This window comes from Homo sapiens, chromosome 19 (genome assembly GCF_000001405.40).
Source record: "Homo sapiens chromosome 19, GRCh38.p14 Primary Assembly".
Classification (NCBI taxonomy): Eukaryota; Metazoa; Chordata; class Mammalia; order Primates; family Hominidae; genus Homo; species Homo sapiens.
In genome coordinates, this window is record NC_000019.10 from 56,477,862 (window position 1) to 56,504,433 (window position 26,572).

At 42.6% G+C, this 26,572-nt stretch overlaps 1 protein-coding gene and 3 long non-coding RNA genes across 7 annotated transcripts in view; 1 reads left to right on the forward strand and 3 right to left on the reverse strand.

Annotated features, from left to right (window-relative positions):
- The window catches only part of ZNF667 (zinc finger protein 667), a 38,765-nt gene extending 38,533 nt beyond the window's left edge, over positions 1–232 (reverse strand). Inside the window, exon 1 of one of the 3 annotated variants that reach the window (XM_024451637.2) lies at positions 172–232. The gene's annotated coding sequence lies outside the window, so the exon portion shown is untranslated. The remainder of the gene's footprint in view (positions 1–171) is intronic. The other 2 variants (XM_024451642.2, XM_047439212.1) reach the window with 2 other exon arrangements.
- ZNF667-AS1 (ZNF667 antisense RNA 1) lies at positions 13–17,576 on the forward strand. 2 transcript variants are annotated; one of them, NR_036521.1, is made up of 2 exons: positions 13–520; positions 16,302–17,576. It is a non-coding gene; the product is annotated as a ZNF667 antisense RNA 1 (long non-coding RNA). The 2 variants fall into 2 exon arrangements; NR_036522.1 differs by having other exon boundaries at positions 263–415.
- LOC105372471 (uncharacterized) lies at positions 8,093–10,698 on the reverse strand. The gene is made up of 4 exons (XR_007067351.1): positions 10,613–10,698; positions 10,085–10,179; positions 9,935–9,991; positions 8,093–8,228 (listed from the first exon to the last, which is right to left on the reverse strand). It is a non-coding gene; the product is annotated as an uncharacterized LOC105372471 (long non-coding RNA).
- Positions 10,712–25,889, reverse strand: LOC124904776 (uncharacterized). The gene is made up of 3 exons (XR_007067352.1): positions 25,789–25,889; positions 24,563–24,612; positions 10,712–10,784 (listed from the first exon to the last, which is right to left on the reverse strand). It is a non-coding gene; the product is annotated as an uncharacterized LOC124904776 (long non-coding RNA).
- Between the last annotated feature and the right edge of the window lie 683 nt (positions 25,890–26,572).

The following is a 26,572-nucleotide window of genomic DNA, read 5'->3' on the forward strand; positions in this document are numbered from 1 at the left end:
CCTGCGACCTCCAGAATCCACCGGGGTGCAGCGAGGCTGTGGAAAGTCCCACCCAGAACGTGAGGTGAAGAAGGCTTGGGCTGCGCTGGTTCTGCTCTGTCCGGGTCGGAGATGAACTGACCCGGGAGAGCAGCGGAGGGATGTTTCTTTTGGCCAACAGTGGGGACTCACCTGCACGTTTTGCGAAGAGGCCCACAGTCCTTTGCGTGGCGCTCGGACTACATTTCCCAACGGCCCCTGCACGCCCTGGGGGCTGTTCCATGCGGTGTTGCGCCTGCGTAGCCGGCGGGCTGGCAGTGAGACTGACTGCGTCGGGGTTGAGACTGGGTGGATGAGGCTCACCCCGGCGGGGAGAAGGGACGAGGAGGGGCGGACAGCGGAAGGTCCGGGAGTGTCCGCCATAAAGTCGTTTGAGGTGACCGTTGCGTAATTGTGAGTCTGTGAGAGAAGATGTGAAGTATGGCCTCGTCCCGGTCATCTGGGCGTGCGGGTCCCGGGTTTTGATCGCGCGTTTGTGTAGGTGAGACCCACATTGTGTTACCCTGAACATGTGTGAGGACGAACCTTTGTGTTTTCTTATACGTGTGTCTCTGAGGCGATTTTTGTGGTTTTGTACGTGGCGGGGGGCACTGATTTTGAATATGTGTGTATGTTCTGGACATTTGTTTAGCTTCTGCATCCACTTCTGCGGAAGGGCAGAGTTGAGTAGGTGGGAACAGGTACTGTGTGGCCCCACAAAGCCTGAACTATTTACTGTTGACTCTAGAGCCCAGTTTTTGCGGTGTGTACGTCTCTGTGGGGAACCACACATTTTGAATATGTATACTTGTGTATATTTACGTCTATTCTATGACTGCTTTTGCACAATGGCAGGGTTCAGTACTTGCAGCAGAGATCTTGTGGCCCATAAAGCCTAAAATACTATCCGACTAAGGTTTCGAGCCGTAGCCAGTTTTTGTGGATGAGTGTTGTGTGTGTGTGGGAAGCCAGTGATTGATTGATTGATTGATTGATTTGGGACGGAGTCTCGCTCTGTCGCCCAGGCTGGAGTGCAGTGGCGCGATCTCGGCTCACTGCAACCTCCGCCTCCAGGTTCAAGCCATTCTTCTGCCTCATCCTCCCTAGTAGCTGGGACTACAGGCGCCCGCCACCACGCCCGGCTAAGTTTTTTGTATTTTTAGTAGATTCGGGGTTTCACCATGTGGGCTCTTGACCTCGTGATCCGCCCGCCTCGGCCTCCCAAAGTGCTGGGATTACAGGCGTGAGCCACCGCGACCGGCCAAGGAAAGCCAGTGTTTTTGACTCTGTGTGTGTGTACCCGCCTGTGTGTTGAGACCCAGTTTTTGTAGTTGCATAGGTGGGTATATGTGTGAGGGGAACCCAGGGCCTGTGATTTCTTTCTTCCCAGGTGACTCTGAGCAAGTTTTGGGGACTAGGTAGTAGGGAGAATGTGTGAGGAACTAGTTTTGGTTTCCCATTTCTGTGATTAGGTAGTAGCAATAATAAAAATAAAAGCTAACAGATACTACTATTAGGACTTTTACCATTACCTCTGTGACTAGCAGCTAGCACTTACTGATTGTTGTCCCTGGTCAAAAGTGAATTTTTCCATTTAAGGTTTTCTTTAATCCTGTAAGCCGTTCTCTGAGTTGTTCCTTGGAGCAAGTTTCTTTCTAGACTGGAGATTGTTCTAAATACCTGGTAATACTAGAATAAGGGGTGTGGTCAAGAGATCCAAGAAATCTTAGGATAAATCTGTCACTTGGCAGTTTCTTTGTTTTCTTTAAACCACCTCCCAAGAAAGTATGTCATCCTTTCTGCTGTTTTAGGGGCATGTTAGTGCGAAAATCTGGGAAAAAGCTTTATGCCTCAGACTGTCCTAGTTCAGAGAAACCAGAGTGTGTGGGTCGGATGTCTTGGCTCCTGATCAGGCTCTGTTGTGCCCATTCTCCGAATAAAGCAACTATCTCCCAAGACACCCATGAGTTTTCTAAGACAGTTTGTCCCAGAGCCCAGGTCCAGAATCTAGTCCTGGTCTTGGATTTGGTCAGACCTTCCCTCACTCTCACCTCAGGACTCCCCACCACTTCCCCCCCTGCCCCAGGAACCCATGGGAATTACAGGCATAAATTAAATACCTGATCCTATGACAGCTCCAGAGTATCTGGAATCTTTTTTTTTTTTTTTTGAGACAGTGTCTTGCTCTGTCGCCCAGGCTGGAGTGCAGTGGCGTGATCTCTGCTCACTGCAAGCTCCGCCTCCTGGGTTCAGGCCATTCTTCTGCCTCAGCCTCCCGAGTAGCTGGGACTGCGAGTGTCCATCACCACACCCAGCTAATTTTTTTGTACTTTTAGTAGACACGGGGTTTCACCTTGTTAGCCATGATGGTTTCACTCTCCTGACTTCGTGATCTGCCCGCTTCAGCCTCCCAAAGTGCTGGGATTACAGGCGTGAGCCACCACGCCCAGCCCAAGATTTAATTTGTTAAAAAAAAAAAAAAAAAAAAAAAAAGTAGGGTAAAGACGCTAGAAAGTCTAGAGAGGAAGGAGGGATTATTTTACACAGGATGGTCAGGGGAGGCCACTTTGATAGGTGGCATTTAGCAGTGAGGCTTCCTGAACTCAGCATGACTGCTCCGCTTGGCTCAGATTCCAGCTCTGTCCACTGTAGTTGAGGAATTATCCCTAGACAGAGAATGGGGAGATAAAGAGGCTCAGCTTGTTAACAGGTTCCCCTCTCACATGAATCTTTTGTCCACTGCCTCAAAACTGCCCCGATATAGTTTAATTTCGTAGTATGCTATTGTGTCATGCTGCAACTCTTTCAGCTCCAAAAGGGATGGCACCAGGTTCAAGAGGCTGAAGAAGAGACTCAGATCCAGGAAATGAGGCATAGGTTATATGTGAGATGGAACTTACATACAGAGTGGTCCAGTGGTGGTAGGCTGAACAGGAGAACTGCCACCGCCTGCAGAAAGCATGGACTTTGTATAGCATTTTCACTTAATACTCTCCTCCTAACAGCATCCACATGGCAACCCTCATTTAACCCAAGACAAAGAGCCTCAGCCCCCATAGGGCCAGCGTTCCACAGGACAGGCCAGGGACTCATTTAACCCAAGACAAAGAGCCTTAATCCCCTATAGGGCCCACGTTCCACAGGACAGGCCAGGGACTCAGGCATTTATCATAGATAAAGATGAATCTCCATGTTGGTCATATTTGGAACTCCGAACATGTATTCAGGTGCGTCTGCCATGCTGGGTCATTTTCAGAGTATGCTTAAGTTATTGCTATCAGTGTCTACCATACACAGTTGGATCTACCATACATAGTTGCATCTGCCATATGCTATGATAGGAAGACTTGTCTAGTACAAGCTTCTGTATCATAGCCCATAGCAGAACTCATATTTGTGAGTATTGTTTGAAGGGATTAAGCAGAGAGAATTGAGTCAGGATATCACTGGGGAGGTATACAGTTTATTTGTGGGATTTCAAGGGCCTGAATTGTGACAACAGAATAAAGTTCTTGTGGGAGAAATATTTTCAGAGGATTTGAGAGCATGGTGTTGAAGAGTTAAGGAAACAGCATATATCTTTTCGTGCTAGATGCTTACATGCAAATGAATCTCCTTATGCTGTCACAAATGTATGCTTCTCTCTCCCTCCCTTTCACTTATCAGTCACATCCCACTAGTCCTGGAGCTTCTCCTACCCTGAGGTCAGGCATGAACCCTGGTGTGTAGTTTTGCTCAAATGCTTACGATCGATAACCCAGTTGTGCACCAGGTTTCTTTATATCTTGAAGTTATCTACTGAACACATGAAAAATAAATTCAGCAAATTATAGAAACTACGAGACACTGCTGTCTACCCTTTGACAAACATTTACTCAGTGTTGTGTGCTGGCTTATTTGCATTGTGTTTTGCAAAAGTCTTAAAATCACAGTCATATCTAGGTTTTTTTCAAGCAATTCTCCTGCCTCAGCCCCCTGAGTAGCTGGGATTACAGGCACCTGCCACCATGCCCGGCTAATTTTTGTATTTTTAGTAGAGACAGGGTTTCACCATGTTAGCCAGGTTGGTCTTGAAATCCTGGCCTCGATGGTATACACATTCCTATGGAAGGCAAGCATTATCTTGTGAGGTACATAGCTGATATGATGCTTCTGCATGGTCTTCAAAGAAGGGGGGCCTTATCTTTCAAGAAACTGAATGAAACTCTTCTTAAAGCAAAAATAAGGCTAAAGAGAATATGACTGTTTAAGATCTACAACTTCATCTGCTTATATGTCCCATCTCCGGTCCTAAAGCCAACTCTTTCCTCATCAAGGGTCCAACTTTGGCTTGGGAGACTTGTGTAGTTGAGAAATTGAGCCTGAGTCACCTCTTCCAATAAGTGCATATGCTCGGACTTGAGCTCTGCCTGCCCTCTGACTGCAAGAGATGACAGTTTCTTTAAATGCTCCTTTTGATATTCACGCTTTAGAATGCTGATTAAGGTATCTGAGATTGTTATTTTCTCTGCTCTTTGCATTAGTAGCACTTTTTAAAAGGCACCTATTCCACAGTCCTAATGGTTGCTATTTCTGCTGTACTAATCAAAGGCTAGAGGTACTGCACATGGCAGGGCATTCTTCTGCACCTATATCCCATCACAGTATATAATCTTAGCAATTGTACTGTGAAAGCTGGCCAGGAGCTGTCTGTCCTTTTGATGTCCGTTTCCTTGATGCTTAGTGATATAGAGCATTTCTCATATACCTGCTTGCCATTTGTGTGTCTTATTTTGAGAAGTATCTATTCAGGTTTTTTCCCATTTTAAAATCAGATTATTTAGTTTTTTGCTATCGAATTGAGTTCCTTACATATTCTGAATATTAATCCCTTGTTAGATGCATGGTTTGCAAATTACTCTTTCCCAATCTGTAGGTTGTCTCTTTACCTGCCCAAGGCTTATGGCTGCCAGTGAATTGATTTGAGGCTGCCTGCCAGTGAATTGATTTAGGGCTGAGGCCATTTTAGTCAGCCAGCAGTGAAGTGGTCTGGGACATGGGACCCTCCTGTGTGGGTGGCAGATTCTCTTCTGGCCTGGGGTGGATCTAAAATCTCTGTTCATGGCCACCATTCTGTACTCAGGGGCCTTGAGGTTCTGCCCAGTGCTGTGTTTTACTGTGGCAGGGCAAGTACTTGTACCATGCACGTTTCCCTCTCCTTCCTTTAAGGCCTTCCGTGCTATGCTGCCTAGGGTTGGAAGAAGGGAGGTGAGGCCAGTGGGAGAGTATCCTTCTTACTGTCTTCAATTGTCTTTCCTTGTTATGCTAAGACCAGGTACTGTGATCTTTCATCTAGTTTCCTTAGCTCTTGTGAATATATTTTCTTGCATGGATAGTTGTTGAAATTTATTTTCCTGCCTGGGGGTTTGCTGAAGTGTTCCTTCCTGCCATCTTGCTCCACCTCTCTGTTCCTTGACCTTTTCTAGTGACCATGTCTTCTACCCCATCAGCCACTCAACTAAAAGATTACCCCACCTGTGTTTCATTAATAATGTATGTATTTCCACCATCATTTCAATGTCACATATCTATATTTTAAGAAAATGTGCATTAGCAGCTACTCCATTTCCACAGTACTTCAACTCGAGAATTACAATTGAGTGATCTACCTTCATCTTACTATCCCTTTCCTCTCATGAGCTAATTTACTTCATAGCCCACATTGAGATGCTGAAATTAATTACTTTAGTCACTTTAATTACTTTAGTCACTTCTTTGCATTTTTTGCTAGAGAGAATTCATCTGATAAACACTAATCCCAAGTAAACTCAACTTTAAACATGACAGGAGATGAAACCAGAAAACCTTGCTTACTTATCTCTCTTTAACCTTAATGTCCACTTACACCAAGACTTGTTGCCTGAGAAAACATCATACCTTATATTTCTGCTTTACCTTCAGTAGCTTCTTCCAATCTTCTCTTTCATCCGATGACCTTGAGGCACATTTAATGAGTAAACCAGGATGGGTCAGGAAGAAGTTCCACATTTCCCAACAGGACAATCATCCCCCTGCCCCCTCCCATTACTGTGGATGAGCTGTCCATGTTCCTGCTGAAGGGCAACCACTCATCTGAGGCTCACTTTTCTCACTGCTTTGCTTACTTGCTCAGGGTGTAGCTCTAATAATTATGAGCATTGTCTGCTGTAATAATTATGAGCATTGTCTGCTCTAATAATTATGAGCATTGTCTTCCACATAATTTTCCTACTCTCTTAAATCATTCTAGAATAATAAAAATGTTCTGGAATTTCCCTTAATTTAAAAACACTGTTACTCTAAGTCATGCATACTCTTTAAACAACTCCCCCATTTCTCTGTTCCCCATTTCAGAAAAGATCCTAAAAAGAGTAGTCTTTGTTCTTTGTCTGTGGCTCCTTGATAACATTTTTCCTTGAACACACTGGGCCTCTAACGCCACCATTGAAATTGCTCTTATAAATGTCACCAAAAGTTGTCCATGATGCTAAATTAAAGGATCAATTAGTCCTTCTTCTACCTAAATCTTTACCAAGATGTGAGGTTGCTGATGAACCCCCCATCCTTGAACCTCTTTTTATTTGGCCATTTGATGATTGACACCATCATTTTCCACGTGGATTACTTCAACAACTTGTTAACTCATTCTGTCACTTTTTTATAGTCATGTATTCTTAACATATCAGGTAGATTAATTTTATAAAACCTTAAGTCAGATCATGTTCTGGTCTCCTTTAACTTCTCCAGCGACTTTCTACCTCACAAAGAATAGAATCCAGATTCCTCACAATGGCCTAGACAACTCTAATGAAACCCCACACTGTGATCTCTCAGATTCCACTTTAGTCCCACTGGCCTCCTGTGTTCTTCCTCAAACGTGGCTGGTTTGCTTCCACATCAAGGTTTTGTACATTGCTGTTCGTTTACCTGGAATGCTCTTCCCTTGGGGAGCCCAGCAAATAGGTCAATATCATCCTCTCCTTGAGGTCTTCCCAACCACCCCATTGTAGACTGCAGGTTGAAAATGGAATCTTCCCACCCTGTGAAGTCAGCAACCTCATTCTTTCCAGTGCCCACTGTGTGGTGAGCATGTTTAGGCTTTATTACAGGGTCTCAGATGAAGGTTTGACCTGTAATAAGTCACATGTCTGCCCTCTGTTTTTCTCCATAGGGGTTCTATTCAGCCTCTTTGGTGGGATAAACATTCCTTATTTTCAGTATATGTGAAGAAAGACTCACTCCACAGGGCTAGGGCCTAGATCAGCACTGTGAGCAGAAGAAACTCTCTAAGAAGAAAACGTGAGAGTGCTCTACATGATGAACAATATCTAGAAAATGAGTGTGGCCAGGCCTGGCACGGTGGCTCATGCCTGTAATCCCAGCACTTTGGGAGGCCGAGGCGGGCGGATCATGAGGTCAGGAGATCAAGACCATCCTGGCCAACACAGTGAAACCCCGTCTCTACTAAAAATACAAAAAATTAGCCAGGCGTGGTGGCAGGCGCCTGTAGTCCCAGCTACTCGGGAGGCTGAGGCAGGAGAATGGCGTGAACCCGGGAGGTGGAGCTTGCAGTGATCCGAGATTGCACCACTGCACTCCAGCCTGGGCAACAGAGCGAGACTCCGTCTCAAAAAAAAAAAAAAAAAAAGAGTGTGGCCAGAGGCCAGATGGTTTCCCAAGATATACACTATTCATTAACAATGCTCTGTTTTCAGAAGTCTTCTTCATAATCTTAAAAATACTCCATTTCTTAGTCATTCAAAGTCATGAGCCACTTATGTTATTTTATAAAGTCAAATATTTTTCTTGTCTCATGTCTTAGTGTATCAATAGAAGAAGGGAAATTCAGTCTTTATTTCTTTCACATCCTAATACTAGAACTCTTACCTTTTCTCATGAACCATCCTTTACTGTGATGCATATAGTTATCAAGTACCCATTTATGGCTAGTGTTCCATTATTGGAATGCTAAGCATGTGGGAGTTATATCCTACTGTTCAAGTCATTGCCAAGGTCTGATTGCAGAAATTCAAAAAATTGCAACCTCAGGCATAAATGGTAAGGAATAGTTGCTCATTTTATTATCTTTCATGGTCTGGAAGGATGTGTGCTTAATGACTTGAGTTCAGTTCTTCTGGGCTTAGTTTCTTGCCCAGTAATTGGCTGATTATCTCTACACTGGCTCTTATGTCCTAGGATGAGAACCACAAGAGAGAGGACATGAGGGTAAATACAATGGGGAAAAAGAAAACAAACAGTGGCAGCAGAGAATGAAGATGAGGAGGAAAGAAAAAATGAGAAATAGGAAGAGAATGAGTTTGTTATGCTCGTCTGGCAAACGTGTAATCTGAATAAATGATAGAGAATAGTGTTTATAAGAGAATGCTCTTCAGAGGCAAATAGACTGTTTAAATGCCGTTAGATCTGAGTGTCCTTGATACATTCTTAGCCTGAAAACTAGAGGAACATGGGCTGGCAAACCAACACTGACATAAATAAATGGCAAGGAATATTAAAAAAGAAAACAAGTTTTGAGAGCTACGGGAACATATAACTTTAGGATATTAATTATTTCAGAAAAGGCTTTTATGAAGTAGTGAATTTTTTTCATTCTTTCTTGAATAGTTTTATTTTTAAATAAGTTTGGATTACCAAAGAGCTGCAGAGATGGTACAGAGTTTCTATATACACATTCCCCAGCTTTCCTTAATGCTACCATCATATAGAACCATGGTACCTTAGTCAACCTAAAACCTTCACATTGGTACAATACTCTCAGAGAAACTGCAGACTATTCAGATTTCCACTGTTTTTCCAAGTATTATCTTTTTTAGTTCCAGGTTCTAGTCACAAATCTCACATTTCTTTAAGCCATCATGTCCCTTAGTCTACTTGGGTCTGCAATGATTCCTCAGTCTTTATCTTTTATGACCTTGTCACTCATCAGGATTTTTATCAAATGTCCCTCAGTTTGAGTTTGTGTGACTTTTGTGTGTGTGTGATTAGTCTGAGGGTATGAATTTTTAGGGAGATTATATGCTAGATAATTTTAAGCTGTTTTGTAAAGAATTAGTCAAATCAATGCAAGGACACCATAAATTTTTCTAGCAGAAGAAACAGCAACAGCATAGATGGTGAGTGGGAAATGATTATGGTGTATTTTACCTCTTTTAATCCAACTTAAATCTCTAAGATAGAGCTATCTTTCAACCAAAATGACCAGCTTTCCTAATTTTGTATATCACCCATGTAAATGGACTAGAACAGAAATGATAGATTCCCCAGTTTTCCCTCTTTTATTTTCTTCTCTACCCCATAAATGGTTATTAACTGACTCTTTGTGAGATTTGCAAAACAGTTCTTTAGAGTGGGATTGTCCCAACCACTCTGAGCAAGGGACAAGAAAACCAAGAGAGGCTAGAACAGTAGGTTTCACAATAGACGAAAACTGCCACCTGAGTTCAGACACAGAGATATACTCCTCTCTTCTCATCCTGTAAAACTCAAACCTTGGTTCCCCTTGAGGAGAGCCCGGCCTTTAGCTGCCCCAATGCACATTGACTGAACTTTAAGCTCTATTTCAGCCACTTTTGATGGCACCCATCCCTTTCTGTGCATGTCTTTGAATATTGACGTGCTCCATCCTTGCTGGAATCCAATTTCCTGTCAATCTTGGAATATATAAATACTTCTTGCTCCATTTTTGAAGCCCCCTCAAAGCCCCATCTTCCTTCCCACCCATTCCTGACACTGCCTCTGGGTTTCTAGAATTCATCAAAATTTTCCCTAGAATTGTTGATAGCCCTCAGCATGTATATGTTAAGCTCTTCCTCAATACATGCATGAAATGTTGCCAGAGGAAATAAGAAAATTGAATAAATAACATTTGCCACCTAACTGGAACAATGAAGAAAAGGCAGACAGCGACCATCCTTGATCTTCTCACTGGGATAACCTTTGAATGGGACAGTGGAATAGAACCATTAATGGAGGGAAGATAGCTGTGAAATGGTGTGAAAGAGAGTGAATTTTGGGGAAAGATGGTTACCTGATGCAGTTCCTCACATGCTACTATCAGGACATTCTTTTTTCCTCTCATTTGTAGCCAGCCATGAGTGTGGTCATACCATGAGTCATGAGTCACTGTGAGAAAGATGAGGAAAAGAGGTGATGGGTTTGATTGTCTGCACAGTTGCAGCCCACTGTATGCATGCCATAAGTAGTTAAGGAGCACATGGGTGAAGTGAATGGAAATCCTTTTCCCTTTTTTCTCATTTGCAAGAGAAATAGAATTCTGCCCTTACTGCCTAGATACAAGGCAGCAGGTGCTGTGTGAGATCGAGTATTGAAGATAAGTTTCACCTCTACCTGTGAAGTGGATTTTCAATTATGAAGAAAATTCAGTTAGCAAATATAGGAGCTAAACTTCATTGTTCTTTTTTTTTTGAAGTCAATGACTTTGTTGTTTCTATCATGAATTTAGTTGCTTTCTCTTATGCCAGAAAATGATGTAATTAATGGCTGCTAACACATGTTTTTTGCTTATCTTCTACCCACCAAGAAGGTTTTTCCTCACATTTGCACTGTATTCAGATGACTGTGGCTGGAGGGGTCATGTCTCAAGGGATCCTGTTACTTGGATATTGTTGACATATAGTGTGGGGCATCTGACACATGCACACCAGCATCTCCCCTTGATATTTTTAGTCTTCATATCAAGAGTAAACTTGCTGTTTCTCTCTGTAAATCTGGACAGTAAAATAGAAGAACTAATATTCAGGAATGGTCAGCTTGCTTTCGGGTCATACGTAATAGAAACCTATGCTGAAACATAAAAAGTGAAACATTCAAGCAGAAAAGTGCAGAGATTGAGGGAATTCTGTTTGATTCCACTGCTCCAGCTCATTCTAAGGAGGTCGAGTTGAATTCTTATGTAGGATTCATTGAAAAAGCATAGTGTTTTCATAATTGCCCTTTTGCTCAAATTATTTACATTTAATATTTCTTGCAACTAAAGGTTTGGCATAATTCAGTAAAAGCTATGGCTGTGGACATGATGGTGCTGAAGTGCAAATAATGAAGTGATCTGCTCAATTCCATGTAGATCATATACCCCAAGAACTTCAAATACCAAAGTGGATGCTTTTAAAAATCTTACAATAAAGATGCCAAGTATTTTTACATTTTTTTTTAATTTTTATTTTTTGAGACAGAACCGTGCTCTGTCATCCAGGCTGGAGTGCAGTGGCATGATCTTGGCTCATTGCAACCTCACTGCCTCTCAGGTTCAAGCTCTTCTCCTGCCTCAGCCTCCCAAGTAGCTGGGATTACATGTGCCCACCACCATGCACGGCTAATTTTTTTGTATTTTTAGTAAAGACGGGGTTTCACCATGTTAGCCAGGCTGGTCTTTAACTCCTGACCTCAAGTGATCCGCCTGCCTTAGCCTCCCAAATTGCTAGGATTACAGGTGTGAGCCACTGCACCCAGCCAGAGATGCTAAGTATTTTTGTAACATGGAGCAGCTCTGAACACTTTGGTCAATAAGAAAATTGAGGCTCGTAGAAGTTAAACCATTCTTCTGCTGAAAATAGCTAGTAAAAGGTTGAATAATCGCTGTTTGAATGCCGACATTGGGACCTCTGAGAGGAGAGCATTTATGCAGGAACATGCTAGATCATGGACTTTGGGAGCATGTTATGCTGCTATAGCAAAAATTGTACTAGTTAAAAATATGGTTACTCCATGAATTACAAGGTAATCTCACAAGATGCCAGATAATTGCACAAGCTGGCAGAAAGAAAAATGATGTTTTAAATTTTTTATTTTTGGCATGATAGCCTTTAAAAATAACTTTTATGGAAGTCCACCCTTTAAAAACAATATTTTAAAAAATTGAAATACAGGTTAAATTTGAAGCTCTTTAATATAGTGATTAAAGCTGCACATGATGTTGACCATGCAGATATTAGTACCTTAATGCCTTCACCACACCTAACTCCCATCCTGGTTCTAAGCTGTACCAGCTTTTCTCACCTCATGCAGTTTCCTGAGTTTGTCCTTCAGCTTGGTTCCTTGGTAGCCTAGTCTACAGGTTTTTCTTTATATCTTATTTTTTTTAAGTTAACAATGGATCCTGGAGGCCACTGTGCGGTGATGTGGCAGTATTCCCTATTCCTGTTTTAAGTTGGGTACTATTCCAGAATATTGTCAGTGGCAATTTTGGTTCTTTCTTGTTTGCTATTTCAAGTAAAGAACATTTGAATAGTTTTGTAAATCCATCTTTTTTTGTGTTTTTGCTTTTGTACTTCTTCTGTTTGATAAGGGGGAATTCTGCATGAACATGTAACTGCAGGAACGTGAGAATTTGCAAACTTTTCCTACATAGATTTATGTCATTTTCCATCTAACCACCAATATATGAGCATGCCTGTCTATGAGAGTCTCACCACTAGGGTGATTGGAATGATCTGAATGCTAGCTGTGGTAGGCAGCAGGTCCCCCAGTACACACACACCAAAGATGTCCATATCCTAATCCTCAAATCTGTGAATGTGTTACTTTTCATAGCGCAAGTGACTTTGAAGGTGTGATTAAAGAATCTTCAGATGGGGAGATTATCTTGGCCTATCCAGCTGGAGACAGTGTAATCACAAGGGTCATTTTAAGAGGCAGGCATAAGTGGCAAAAGCAGAGAAAGAGATGTGATGACAAGAAGGATGTGGCCATGTGACGAAGTGAGGGCAGCCTCTAGAAGCTAGAAAAGGCAAGAGGTAGATCCTCTCCTGGAGCCTCAGGAATGGCAGGTAGCTAGGCCCACAGATTAATTTTAGCTCATAAGACATATTTTGGAATTCTGAACTGCAGAACATGGCAGTTTAAACAAAACTGCTTAGTTTTAACTGCTGTATTTGTGGTAATTCATCACAGCAGAGAGAAACTAATGAACCTCCTAGTGTGATAGGTGAGAAATGGTATCTCGGTGTGGTTTGAATTACACTTCTCTTATTTTGAGTATGGTAAGTTGTATTTTTAAATGGTCACAGCACTTAGAATAATTTGGAGGGACAAAGCATGTTCACTGAGATTCTGTTGCTAACTGGAGGTACCAGAGATTTAACCAACACCTAGGTTTGGAGGGCAAAATTTGTTTAAACCATGAGACAGTAAGACCTGGACGTAGAAACTCCACCATTCTTCTAGGAACCCCTATTTTGAGTCATAGTCACCATGTCCTTGAAGAAACCATTCAAAATATTCTTCAGATGACTCTGGATTTTTGACCATCCTTATTGCTCTCCAGAAATAGTAACTAGAAATAACAGCATCTCTGGGATTTCTCACTATGTAAATAATCGTAAATGAAAAAGGGGATATTGAGAATAAATATATCCATTTCCTTTGCTCCAGGATTTTTGCAAGTGGATAAAAAAATTTAACTCACATTAGAGTCTTTGGCTGTAGCTCAGCCTTCTTTAAATCATTCATTTAACAAAATGTATTGAGAACCTACTATGTGCTAGACATACAGCTATAATGGATCAATGAAAGAAGTCTGCGTCCGAGTCCTCTGTACATTTATGGCTAAGGGCTGGGCTGTACAGGCATGGGGCAAGATCACCAGAATTTTACCAAATAGTAGTGACTTCTAACAGCTTCTTAACACTCCTGTTATCTAGCTGAGTCATTGAAAGCAGCCAGCTACAAACAGACACATTCCAGGCAGTGGAGAAAGAGGAGAAAAATGCCCCCTAACTTCTCATCAGAAAAACAAAGGCCTAATGAAAATGGAAAGTTGTCTTTAAAGTGCTGAAGGGGGAAAAAAAACCTTCATGCTAAATATGCTTCACGTATGAGGATGAACTCAAGGTAATCTTAGAAACATGAAAGCTGTGAGAATTTATTGCTGTCAGCTCTACACGACAACGAATTCTAAAGTCCTTCAGTCTGTGAGGAATCATAGTGTATGTCAAGGGGGAAGGAAGGAAGAAGCCAAGAAACAGTAAAGGAGTAAATTTAAAAGACATTTTCTTTCCTCTTCCAATTAACTTAAAAGACAGCTGAGTGTTTAAAGCAAAATAACCCCGTAGACAGTTTTTGCAATGTAGATAAGAGTGAAAATTGTGAGGGAAATAGTACAAAGAAAGATGGTGGGTAAATGGAATCAGTTAATAACTCCAGATTTTCTCCTCGTTCAGCTTGACAAAGTCACCAAATCCTCCATCTGCATAACTCCATCAGTAAACACTGCATTTAATCTCCTGGGACAACCAATACTTTTTCTGTATTTTTCTCCCTGCCTCACCCTCTTTACCTATCTATGATATTTCTTAAAATAGATGTTTTCACCAACTGCACCCTGGGATCTGATACTAAGCTAGGCTGTCAGTAAATGATATTGTCACCACAGAAACCAAGTATATGTCTACTCTTTGTCGTGCCCAAATACAAATCTGTAAATTCCCTTAATATGTGGGTTGGGGTCATCTTAATCATCACCTTTTTCTCAATCCTGTTTCAGAGCCTGACACATGATAGGTGCATAATACTTAAATGTATGAAGGAATAAAAGGCATGAATGCATACATAAGTTAATTAATAATCAGAAGTGAGTACATGGAAGAATCAGTACTGCCAGTTTAAACACACAGAAACTGTGCTTCAAAGACGCTGCACTATTTGCCAGTAGACAAAATGTGGAACCAAGGTTCAAACTGGAATTTTCTGAGATAAAGTCACAATCATATTACAGAGCTTGGTCTTGGGCTGTTTGCTTGGGCTATTTGTTTTCTTTTTCATTTATTCATCCTATATTTTCTTAAATCTCTACAACGTTTTAAGCACTTTGCCAAATTAGTATAAAACAGTAAAAATAGTAAGATAATAAACATGGTCTTCATAATCATGGATGTCACGGTAAAATGAATCAGCCTGACAGTAAGTAAGCCAGCAAATGAAACATAGCACAGTAGTAATACAATGTGATAGCATAATACTGTAATACCTTTTTTTTTTTTTTCCTTTTCTTGAGATGGAGTCTCTATCTGTTGCCTAGGCTGGAGTGCAGTGCCGTGATCTCGGCTCACTGCAACCTCTGCCTCCCAGGTTCAAGCGATTCTCCTGCCTCAACCTCCCGGGTAGCTGGGATTACAGGCATGTGCCACCATGCCCTGCTAATTTTTGTATTTTTCATAGAGATGGGGTTTCATCATGTTGGCCAGGCTGGTCTCAAACTCCTGACCTCAGGTGATCTGCCCACCTTGGCCTCCCAAAGTACTGGGATTACAGGTGTGAGCCATCACACCTGGCCTATAATATCTTGATAATACTGCTACTACCACATCACCTAAGATGCTTCAAGGGAGTTTCATACAGTTTTGATGGTTTTAATGCCATATGATTTAAACTATAATCTATGATGAGTACACATTCACATTTTATAGCACAGGGTCACTCAATGCTAGAGGTTTTATGTAGAGCTCCTGAAATGATGCATCTGAGTCCTTTCAGCTGGGAAAGACATGGTCTGAATAGGTAATATCATGGTTAGAAAAACCCAATTGGGTTTCACATGTGAGTACCAAACCTATATTTCCTCTCAAATAGAGGTACTGGCTTATAATTGAGGTGCTTCCCACATGGGCTTGTCAACATTGGGTGCCTCTGTGTTGAGGGTGCAGCCAGGATTTATAAAACTGAAGACTGAATATTCTCTGGGGCAATACCAGGCAGATTCTCTTGTATATGACATTGTAGCTTAGAACAAGATTTTCTAATCTGCTTACTTTACTGAATCACATTTTAAGTTTGTTTCTAAAACAAAGATATTGAGGGCAGTCAGAAAAGTAGTCCACATGGACATTCTTTTTTTTTTTTTTTTGAGACGGAGTCTCACTCTGTTATGCAGGCTGGAGTGCAGTGGCGCAATCTCGGCTCACTGCAACCTCCGCCTTCTGGGTTCAAGCGATTCTCCTGCCTCAGCCCACCAAGTAGCTGTGCCACCACACCCGGCTAATTTTTTTGTATTTTTAGTAGAAATGGGGTTTTACCATGCTAGCCAGGATGGTCTCGATCTCCTGACCTCGTGATCTGCACACCTCGGCCTCCCAAAGTGCTGGGATTACAGGCGTGAGCACCATGCCTGGTGGACATTCCATTATTAACTCACCTTGGCCTTGGAATTAATGACTTGGAGAAGACCTGAATGGGGAGGGGAGAGCAGTAGAAGCATGAGCCTTTCTGACTGTCTACATGTTCTTGCCCAGTTTTAACTTCTAGTCATGGCGAATGATCGCAGGAGAGCACAGACTGGACCCTGCTACGATCTCTCTTGGAGTGGATCAGACTGATGATCACCAACAACCAACTCATTCCCGGATAAGGAAGAAGAGAGTGTCACCTACTTCAGTGTGGTTTCAACCCTACTTCTGCATCTTAAAGACACTGTATGGTTTCAGCAGTAGTGCCCCTGTTCATTAGTCCCCCTGATGTTTTCATTCCTCATCTCATCTTTTTCTTAGCAGCATTCAATGAATCCTTCATTCTAGAAACACTCTATATCTTTGGTTTTCATGAGACCATTCTCACCTTGTTTTGTCCTGTGACTTTTTTGAAAAAAACAAAAACAAAAAACCCTTTTTTTCTTTTTAAATTCTGGTAAAAAACACAATGAAAATTTGCTATCTTAACCATGTTGAAATGTGCAGTTAGTAAAGTACATTCACATTGTGGTGCAAGCCATCACTACCATCCATCACTAGAACCCTTTTCATCTTGCAGATCTGAAACTCTACCCATTAAACGACTTCCCATCTTCCCATCCCCACAGCTCCTAGCAACCAACATTCTACTTTCTCTATCAGTTTGACTACTCTAGGTACCTCATATGAGTAGAATCATACAGCATTTATCCTTCTCTGCCTGGCTTATTTCACTTGTATAATGTCCTCAAGGTTCATTCATGTTGTAGCATGCATCAGAACTTCCTCCCCTTTTAAAGGCTGGATAATATTTCATGGTATGTTTAGATCACATTCTGTTTATCCATTCATCCATCAGTGAACACTTGTGCTCCTTCCAACTTTGGGCTGTTGGGTGTCCTGCCACTGTTGCTCCTAGTGCTCAATCTCGTTTATTCCCTCCTAATCAAGTGTACAACGTTGGACACTGTGCAGGATGATGCCACTTCATCTTGGATGCTAATCTGCCATGTTGACTTCTGATTAACCCCAGGCCCAGGAATGCCTCAAGATTTCTACTTTACTTACTGTTGCTTGTGTAAGCCAAGACAACCTTGATGTTATCATAAACATGTACTTACCTAAGTCCTGTCCTTTGGCAAATTATGGGCTATGAGACACAGCATTCTTGCCTTTCCCTGAGGGGTCAATTTCAGCGATCCTACACATTCCTTCTGAAGCACTTATGCTCTTTCTATATGGTATGTAAGCTCTCGGTCTGGGGAGTAACAGTGCAGAGATCTACCTGTCTTGTTGCCACATGTTTCTAAACTTTCCAATAAATCACCTTCTACTGACAAACTGGATTTGTCTTCCTTATTCTTTGGTTTCTTGGTTCCTTTTTGGTATGGATTTGCTTTCCCTATGTGGTTCTTTCATGAAACTGTTGGTGAGCTAGCCAGGAGGAATTCAGGAGCCAAAGTATGGGCAAGGGAAGGAAGCCTCAGTTGGGGAAGTCTTGGGGCAGCCCTCTGTGTGTGTGGGGTGATATTGCCCGTTTGCTGGATGCCTGCAGACCACCGCCTGAGTACGGGGATGGCCCAGAACACTACAGGGTCTAGAGTGCTTGTGAGAAGAAAACCACACCATGCACTGAAGGTCCCTGAAGGTGGCAACAGAGGGGTGGCCGCTATTATGGGTTGCACATGTGACCCCAGAAGTACAGTTAGCAACCGAGACAAAGGTACAGAAGCTAGAGAAGTAATTACAGTTAGAGAAGGATATGAGGATCTCCACATCTGTGTTAGCATCTAATTTGGTGCATAAGCTTGAAACTCAGGAGGTGCAGGTGGAAACTGTTGTCTGCCGCTTTTATGCAGCTGCGAGGACAAAAACTGCACTGGTTGCAAGTGTGAGCTGTCCTTGCTAGACCAGACCAAGATGCTGAGACCTGGAATCCTTGGGAATCGACTTGTGAGTCAGATGAAGACAGAGGTTATCTCAGAGTAGGAGGATTGTCCTCCCCTTTTGAGGGCAGGAGGAAAACAAAACCCAACAGATACAGCTGTACAATAGCAAGCAGTCTTTTCACAGCAAAGCTTAACTCTGAGAGTACACCTCAGCAGAACTATTGGACACAGCAAGAACTCTTAAAGCAGCTGCCAAGAGACAGCATAGCCACATGGATGGTGGTGTGGCTATGCGAGAGGCCCAGTGAAGGGGACTTCCCAGGTCAGACACTGGCATGGTGGTCTCTGGAGGAGGCACAGAGCAATTCAGGGGAGCTGGGTATGCAGCAGGCCATCTATGACCAGCAGTTGCAGTTGTCCCCTTGTAGGACAAGATGTATATTATGTGCGGGATGCCGTAGCTGGTCTTGGAGAAACTGAAAGGGGAAGGGATAAGGTCCAACTGGTTACCAAGGGAAAAGAAAAGGAGATAGCAAGTCTGTTGGACTTGAAAAAGGAGGTCTAAAAGACCCAGTTAGGATTACCAGAAAACAAATGTGGTACAATCTGATCTCAGCTGGGATAAACCAAGAAACGGAATCAGCAACCTCATGCCATGTTGGTGGGCATTTGAAAGGACTTAACTCCCGCCCAACTGTTTAGACCTTTTCCCAGCATCCGGCCAGAAAAGGAGGATGGAGGAGATGAAACTATGTATTAAAAAAGAACTCCGGTCTCTGCTCCAGCCTTGGACTCCTATCCAGCCTACAGACTGCGGGGCGGGGGGCGGGGGTGGGAGGGGGCGGAAGGGGGGCAAGGTTGCCTCTAGGGATGAGCAGTAGAGGGTGACTAGAGGCTCCATGTGGAGCTCACAATATCAGAGTTGAAAAACACATGCAGAGGACACTAGTTGTAGTGGACACAGGTGCAGAGTGCACCTTAGTTCTTGGAAGCCCAGAGAGACACGCTGGTAAGTGGACAGCTCTAGATGGTTACTGGGGACAAACAATCCAAGTGGAACAAACTCCTCCCCTTCTTGGTATTGGATGGTGGAGTTTCCCTGCTTACTATACTGTCTTTATCTCACCTATTCCAGAAAACATGTTGGATATGGACATCCTTTAAGGATGCACTTTGCAAACGTCCATGGGGGAATTCCACCAATGAGTTTGGGTGGTAAACACTATTTAAAGAGTGGCAGTGAAATAGGCACCTGTACTTTTTCCTCCCCCATGATGTATCATCAGTGTGAAGTAACAAATTATTTTCTTGGCAGAATAAAAGAAATGACAGCCACCATAGAGGAACTAGCCAAAGTTAATATTAGTCGGCCAGCCCAGAGTCCCTTCAGGAGTTCTGTGTGACTGGGAAAGGAAATCTGACAGCACCGGGCACGTGACAGTAGACTACAGGGAATTCAATAAGGTATTTGCTGACATATACCCTGTTGTGCCTAATATCATCTAAGTGATAGAACAACTATACAAACTATAGGTACTTATCATCTGTATTAGATTTAGCCAATGCCTTTTTTTTTTTTCTTGAGAAAAGGTCTTGCTCTGTCACTCAGGCTGGAGTGCAGTAGCACCATCATAGCTCACTGCAGCCTTGACCTCCTGGGCTCAAGCGATCCTTCAGCTGCAGCCTCCTGAGTAGCTGGGACTACTCAGGAGGTGTGCCATCAAGGTGCGCCACCAAGCCCAGCTAACTTTTCTTATTTTCTGCAGAGATGAGAAAATAAAGAGACCAGGCTGATCTTAAACTCTTGACCTCAAGTGATCCTCCCACCTCAGCCTCCTAAAGTGCTGAGATTACAGGCACATACTAGATTTGTCTACCTCATTCTTTGGTTTCTTGACTCCTGTGTTGGGGAATGCTTTGCATATACAGCCCTTTCACAAAAGAGACCCCACAAAACAATTGATCTCATTCTGTACATCCAGCTAAAATCACATGTGTACTAGCTGATAAGGCAGAACAAAAGTAATTAAGAGGTTTTATTTACTTAAATATATAGTGAGTCAAAGAAATGTGGATGAGCATTGATTTGAAGGCTATTTATAGATCATGAAGGTAAGCCTGGTGTTCACCCATGTTGAGGGTGTATCTTCCCCACTCAGTCCACTGATTTATAAGCCAATCTCCTCTGGTAATACCCTGAAGACACAGCCAGAAGTAATGTTTACCAGTTACATACATATTCCTTAATCCATTCAAGTTAATACCTGAAATTAACCATCACATCAACCCATGTTCTATGGTACAAAGCACTGTGGATGCATTATCTGTTTACACAAGGAAACTATAGGCTCAAACAGGCTTAATCAGTTTCTAAACTGACCCTTTAATTTAGTGGGATATGTTGAATCAAGGACATAGTGATGCATGCTACAATCTAGATGCGCCTTGAAGACATTATGCTAAGTAAAAAAAAAAAAAAATCAGACACAAAACACCACATATTGTGATCTCATTTGTATGAAATGTCCCGAGTAGGCAAATAGATAAACAGAGGAATTAGATTGGTGGTTGCCAAGGACTGGCGAGAGAAGAGAATAAAAAGTAATGGCTAGTGGGTAGGATTTCTTTAGTCGTTAAAGTATTCTCAACTATTGTGGTGGCTGTTGCATAACTCTGATTATAACAAGGCCACTGAATTTTATACTGTGAAAAATAGGCTAGGCGCGGTGGCTCACGCCTGTAATCCCAGCACTTTGCGAGGCCGAGATGAGCAGACCACGAAGTCAGGAGATTGAGGCCACCATGGCTAACACAGTGAAACTCTGTCTCTACTAAAAATACAAAAAAATTAGCTGGGCGTGGTGGCACACTCCTGTAGTCCCAGCTACTTAGGAGGCTGAGGCAGGAGAATGGCTTGAACCCGGGAGGCAGAGGTTGCAGTGAGCCAAGATCGTGCCACTGCACTCCAGCCTGGGCGACAGAGCGCGACTACATCTCAAAAAATAATAATAATAATAAAGTAAAATAAAATAAATAAAAAATAGCCGGGCACAGTGGCTCACACCTGTAATCCCAGCACTTTGGGAGGCCGAGGCAGGTGGATCACGAGATCAAGAGATAGACCGTCCTGGCCAACATGGTGAAACCCCATCTCTACTAAAAATACAAAAATTAGCCAGGTGTGGTGGCAGGTGCCTGTAGTCCCAGCTACTAGGGAGGCTGAGGCAGGAGAATTGCTTAAACTGGGGAGGCGGAGGTTTCAGGGAGCTGAGATTGTGCCACTGCACTCCAGCCTGGGCGACAGAGGGAGACTCTGTCTCAAAAAAAAAAAAAAAAAAAAAAAAAAAAGAACTAGACTTTTATGCTATGCTATGAGGACTAAGCTCTGATATTTTTATGTTGCCCAAATTCCTACCTAAGGGGTCTAAGGAGTCATGCCCTACAAACTATAAATTCTCATCAGATGGGTTTTGTCTGGCCCTACGCATCACGAGTTACTTTTCAGTATAACTCTGGCATAACATTATGAGACCAGGAAAAAAATATTTAACCCCAAAATATATTTCCTTGCCATACCTTGAAACTGCCCTGCTAAGTCTCTTTTGGGAAAAATCCACATCCTATAGAGAATCTCCTTTCCCCCTTGTTTTCCTTCATTTCTTTCCAGATCCAGGAGATAATCAACTAAGAGCCAGGTACCCTTTTGGGCTTGATAAGAAACATTTTACAACCTGCTCTCTCTCTCAAGTCTGCTGAGAACTTCCTCTGCACAATAAAATTTGGCCTCCACAATCCTTTATGTTATCCTGAACATTCCTTTCTATTGATCCCAGGTGTTCAGATAAACTCAACCAATTGTCAACCAGAAAATGTTTAAATTTACCTATAGCCTGGAAGCCACCACTCTGAATTGTCCTGCCTTTCTGAACCTAAACAATGTATTTCCTAAATGTATTTGATTGATGTCTCATGCATCCCTAAAAATCTATGAAACCAAGCTGTACCTCAACCACCTTGGGCACATGTTCTCAAGACTTCCTGAGGGCGGTGTCACGGGCCATGGTCACTCATATTTGGCTCAGAATAAATCTCTTAAAATATTTTACAGAGTTTGACTCTTCGTCAACAATAATCTGGCGCCCAAACGTGGGGCCTCAGAGAAGACTCAGGACCCCTAAGGAGTTGCCTGAAACCGGAGCTAAGGTACCAGCAGGGGCCCATTGAAGTCCCACTGAGTTCAAGCTTCTCCTCCGGTGGAACTGGTAAGTCCTCCTGAGCCCCAGACCTCTCCTTGACCAGACTTTTCTTAGGCTTCCCTGAGCCCTCTTCTTGAGTAGGCCTGGACCTTGGATTTCTGTGTCCATCCTTGCTGCACCCAGTTTTAGCAAGAATCCTGTTAAGTAGGTTTAGTGAGAATTCCCTTATCCTTGATCAGGTTCCTCATCTTCCACCCTTAATGTCTAAGTCCTTGGCCTGCCTTTAGCAGGATTCTACCCTTAATACCTAATCAAGTTCCTGTTTGTGATTTCCCACCCATTGACCCCCTTACTCTTATAGTTGGCTACAAAACCAACTGTTGTTGCTATATTGGGGAGTTGAGTTCACTGTCTCTCCCCCATTGCAATTGTCTTGAACAGTATTACTTACCGTTTACACACGTGTATTCTTTTCCTGTTTCCCTCATTTGCATGAGAAATGGAATTCTGCCTTTACAGCCTTGATACAGAGCAGTGGGTGTTGTGTGAGATACAGTATTGAAGATGAGTCTCACCTCTGTCTGTGATGAAATAGATTGTGAATTGTGAAGAGAATGCAGGTAGCAATGTAGGAGCTAAACTTAAGTGTCCTCTAATTTAGAGTCAATGACTTTGTCGTTTCTGCTGTGAATCTGGCTACTCTCTGCTATGCCAGAAAATGATGTACTTAACTGCAGCAAACACGTATCTTTAGTTTATCCTCCACTCACACAAACCTTTGGGACAGCACATGTTATCAGGAGTTTTCCCCCTCACATCTGTACTCTCTTCAGATGAATGTGGCTGGAGGGTCATGTCCCGAGGAATCTTATTACTTAGATATTATTGATTTTTGCAGAGTGGGGCATCTGACGTATGCACACCAGTGCCTCTTCTCTTGACATTTTTGCTCTTTGTATCAACAGTGAACTTGTTTCTCTCTGTATATCTGGACAATAAAATTGAATTCCTCATACTCAGAAATGGTCAGGTCACATTCAGGTCATGTGGGCACAAAATAATAGAAACTTACACTGAGACCTAGAAAATGAAACATTCAAGCAGAAAACTGCAGAGATTTAGGGACTTCTGTTTGATTCCACAATTGCAGCTATTCCTGAAAAAGGTGGAGCTCAATTCCTACATTGGATTCATTGAAAAAGCACAGTGTTTTCTGTTTCCCTTTTGCTTGAATTCCTTGTCATGTCTAATGTTGTCTGCAACTCAGGGTTTGGAATAATCCAATAGGAGCTCTGATTGTGGACATGATCTAACGTTCTAATAACCAAGTGATGTGTTCAACCTGATATAGATAATAAACTCCAAGACCTTCAAAAACCAAAAGGAAGACTTTTTTTTCATCTTACACTGAAGATACCACATTATTTTTATGCATGGAAGGGGTCTCAGCACTATTTCAATGAATACAGTCCCAATCCCCATTTGAAAAATAAGAAAACTGAGGCTCATAGAAGTTATGTCATCTTTCTGCCGAAAAACAGCTATTAAAAAGTTGGATAGTCACTGTTTGAATGCAGACACTTGGAGCTCTGAAAGGAGAGCATTTATGCAGGAACATGCAAGATCATGGACCTTGGGGCCATGCCATGCTGCTATACCAAAATTGAAGTAGTTAAAAATATGGATACTCCATGGGTTCATAGGGGAACCTCGCAAGATGCTGGAGACTTGGATAAGCTGACAAAACTAGAACACGTTTTAAATTTGGGGGCGGGAGCATTACAGCCTTTAAAATATCTTTTATAAAAATTCCACTCCCAAAATCTGAGAGTACTTGTCAGAAACAGTATTTTTTTAAACTCGGAATACAGGTTAAAATCCAAGCTCCTTAATTCTGTATTTAAGGCTGTCCATGATATCGACCATGCAGACGTTAGTAGCTTCATGTCTTGACCACACCTGACTCCCAACCCTGACTCCAAGCTGTGCCAGCTCTGCTCTCCCTGTGCAGTCTTCTGGGTTGTCCTCTGTCTTGGTTCATTGGTAGAATAGTCACAAACTTTGTTCCATACCTTAATCTTTTTAAGTTAACAGGGGATCCTAGAGGCCACTCTGCAGTGGTGTGGCAGTATTCCTTATTCTTGTTGTAAGTTGGGTGCTGTTCCAGGATATTGTCGGTGGGAATTTTGGTTCTTTTTTGCTATTACAAATAAGAAACATTTGAATAGTTTTGTAAATCTACCTTTTTCGTGGTTTTGCTTGTATACTTTTTTCACTGGAGAAGGGGGAATTCTGCATGAAAATGTAAATTTTAAGTGTTAGAATGTGAGGATTTGCAAACTTATCTTACACAGACTTGTGTCATTTTCCTTCTAACCGCCAACATATGAGCATACCTGTCTACCCAGGGTCTCTCCACTAGAGTGATCTGAATAATTTGAATGCTAGCTGTGTGGTAGGAAGGAGCCTCCCCACCGCTCTCAACACCAAAGATGTCCATGTCTTAATCTCAAAATCTGTTCATTTGTTACTTTTCATGGCAAAAATGACTTTGCCAATGTGATTAAAGGATCTTCAAACAGGGAGAGCACCATGGACTATTCAGGTGAAGGCACTGTAATCACATGGGTCATTATAGGAGGGAGGCTGAAGTGTAAGAAGCAAAGGAGACCTGATGACAAGAGAGATGCAGCCTTGTGACAAGAAATGAGGGCAGCCTGTAGAACAGGAGTCCCCAACCCCTGGGCCGCAGACCGGTACCAGTCTGTGACCTGTTAGAAACTAGGCCACACAGAAGGAGTTGAGCAGCGAGCAAACGTCACCGCCTGAGCTCTGCTTCCTGTGAGATGAGTGGCAGCATATTCTCACCGGAGCGTGAACCCTATTGTGAACTGCGCATGTGAGGGATCTAGGTTGAACGCTTCTTATGAGAATCTAACTAATGCTTGATGACCTGAAGTGGAACAGTTTCACCTTGAAACCATTGCCCCATCCATCTTCCAGAAATCCCATCCCTGGTGCCAAAATGGTTGAGGACCACTGCTCTTGAAGCCAGCAAAGGCAAGAAGTAGATTCTCTCCTGGAGCCTCAGGAATGGCAGGCAGCTAGGCCCAGACATTAATTTTAGCTCATAAAGTATATTTTGGAATTCTGAACTACACAACATAATTTTTTTGTTTTGTTTTGCTTTAACTGCTATGTTTATGGTAATTTGTTACAGCGGAGATAAAAAAATGAATACACTTCTCAGTATGATAGGTAAGAAATGGTATCTCAGTGTAGTGTGAATTACACTCCTCTTATTTTGAATGTCATAAGTTATCTTTTTTAATGTTCATAGTACTTAGAATAATTTGTATGGACAAAGCACGTTGACTGAGCTTCTGTTGCTAACTGGAGGTATCGGATATTTAACAACACTTAGAAGTTTGGATGGCAACATTCATTTAAACTGTGAGACAGTAATACCTGTTGAGGTGCAGAAACTCCACTACCCCTTCAAGAATCCTTTTTTTTTTTTTGAGACAGAGTTTTGCTCTTGCTGCCCAGGCTGGAGTTCAGTGGCGTGATCTCGGCTCACCACAACCTCCGCCTCCCAGATTCAAGCGATTCTCCCGCCTCAGCCTCCCATAGCTGGGATTACAGGCATGAGCCACCACGCCCGGCTAATTTTGTATTTTTAGTAGAGACAGGGTTTCTCCATGTTGGTCAGGCTGGTCTCGAACTCCCGACCTCAGGTGATCCTCCTGCCTCAGCCTCCCAAAGTGCTGGGATTACAGGCGTGAGCCACTGCACCTGGAAGAATCCATTTTTTTTTTGAGACAGGGTCTTGCTCTGTTGCCTGGGCTGGAGTGCAGTGGTGTGACTATGGCTCACTGCAGCCTTGAATTCCTGGGCTCTAGCAATCCTCCCACTTCAGCCACCTGAGCAGCTGGGACTACAGGCATGGGCCAGCATGTCCAGCTAATTTTTTTGATTTTTAGAAGAGACGAGGTCTTACCATTTTGCCCAGGCCAGTCTCAAACTCCTGAGCTGAAGCAGTCCTCCCAGCTCGACCTCCCGAAGTGCTAGGATTACAGGTGTGAGCCACTGCACCTGGCCAAGAACCCATATTTAGAGTCAGACTCACCATATCCTTGAAGAAACCATTCCAAATATTATTTAAATGACTCCGTATTTTTGACCATCCTCATTCTCCAGAAATAATAACCAAAAGTAACTATATCTCTGGGATTTCTCACTAGGTAAACAA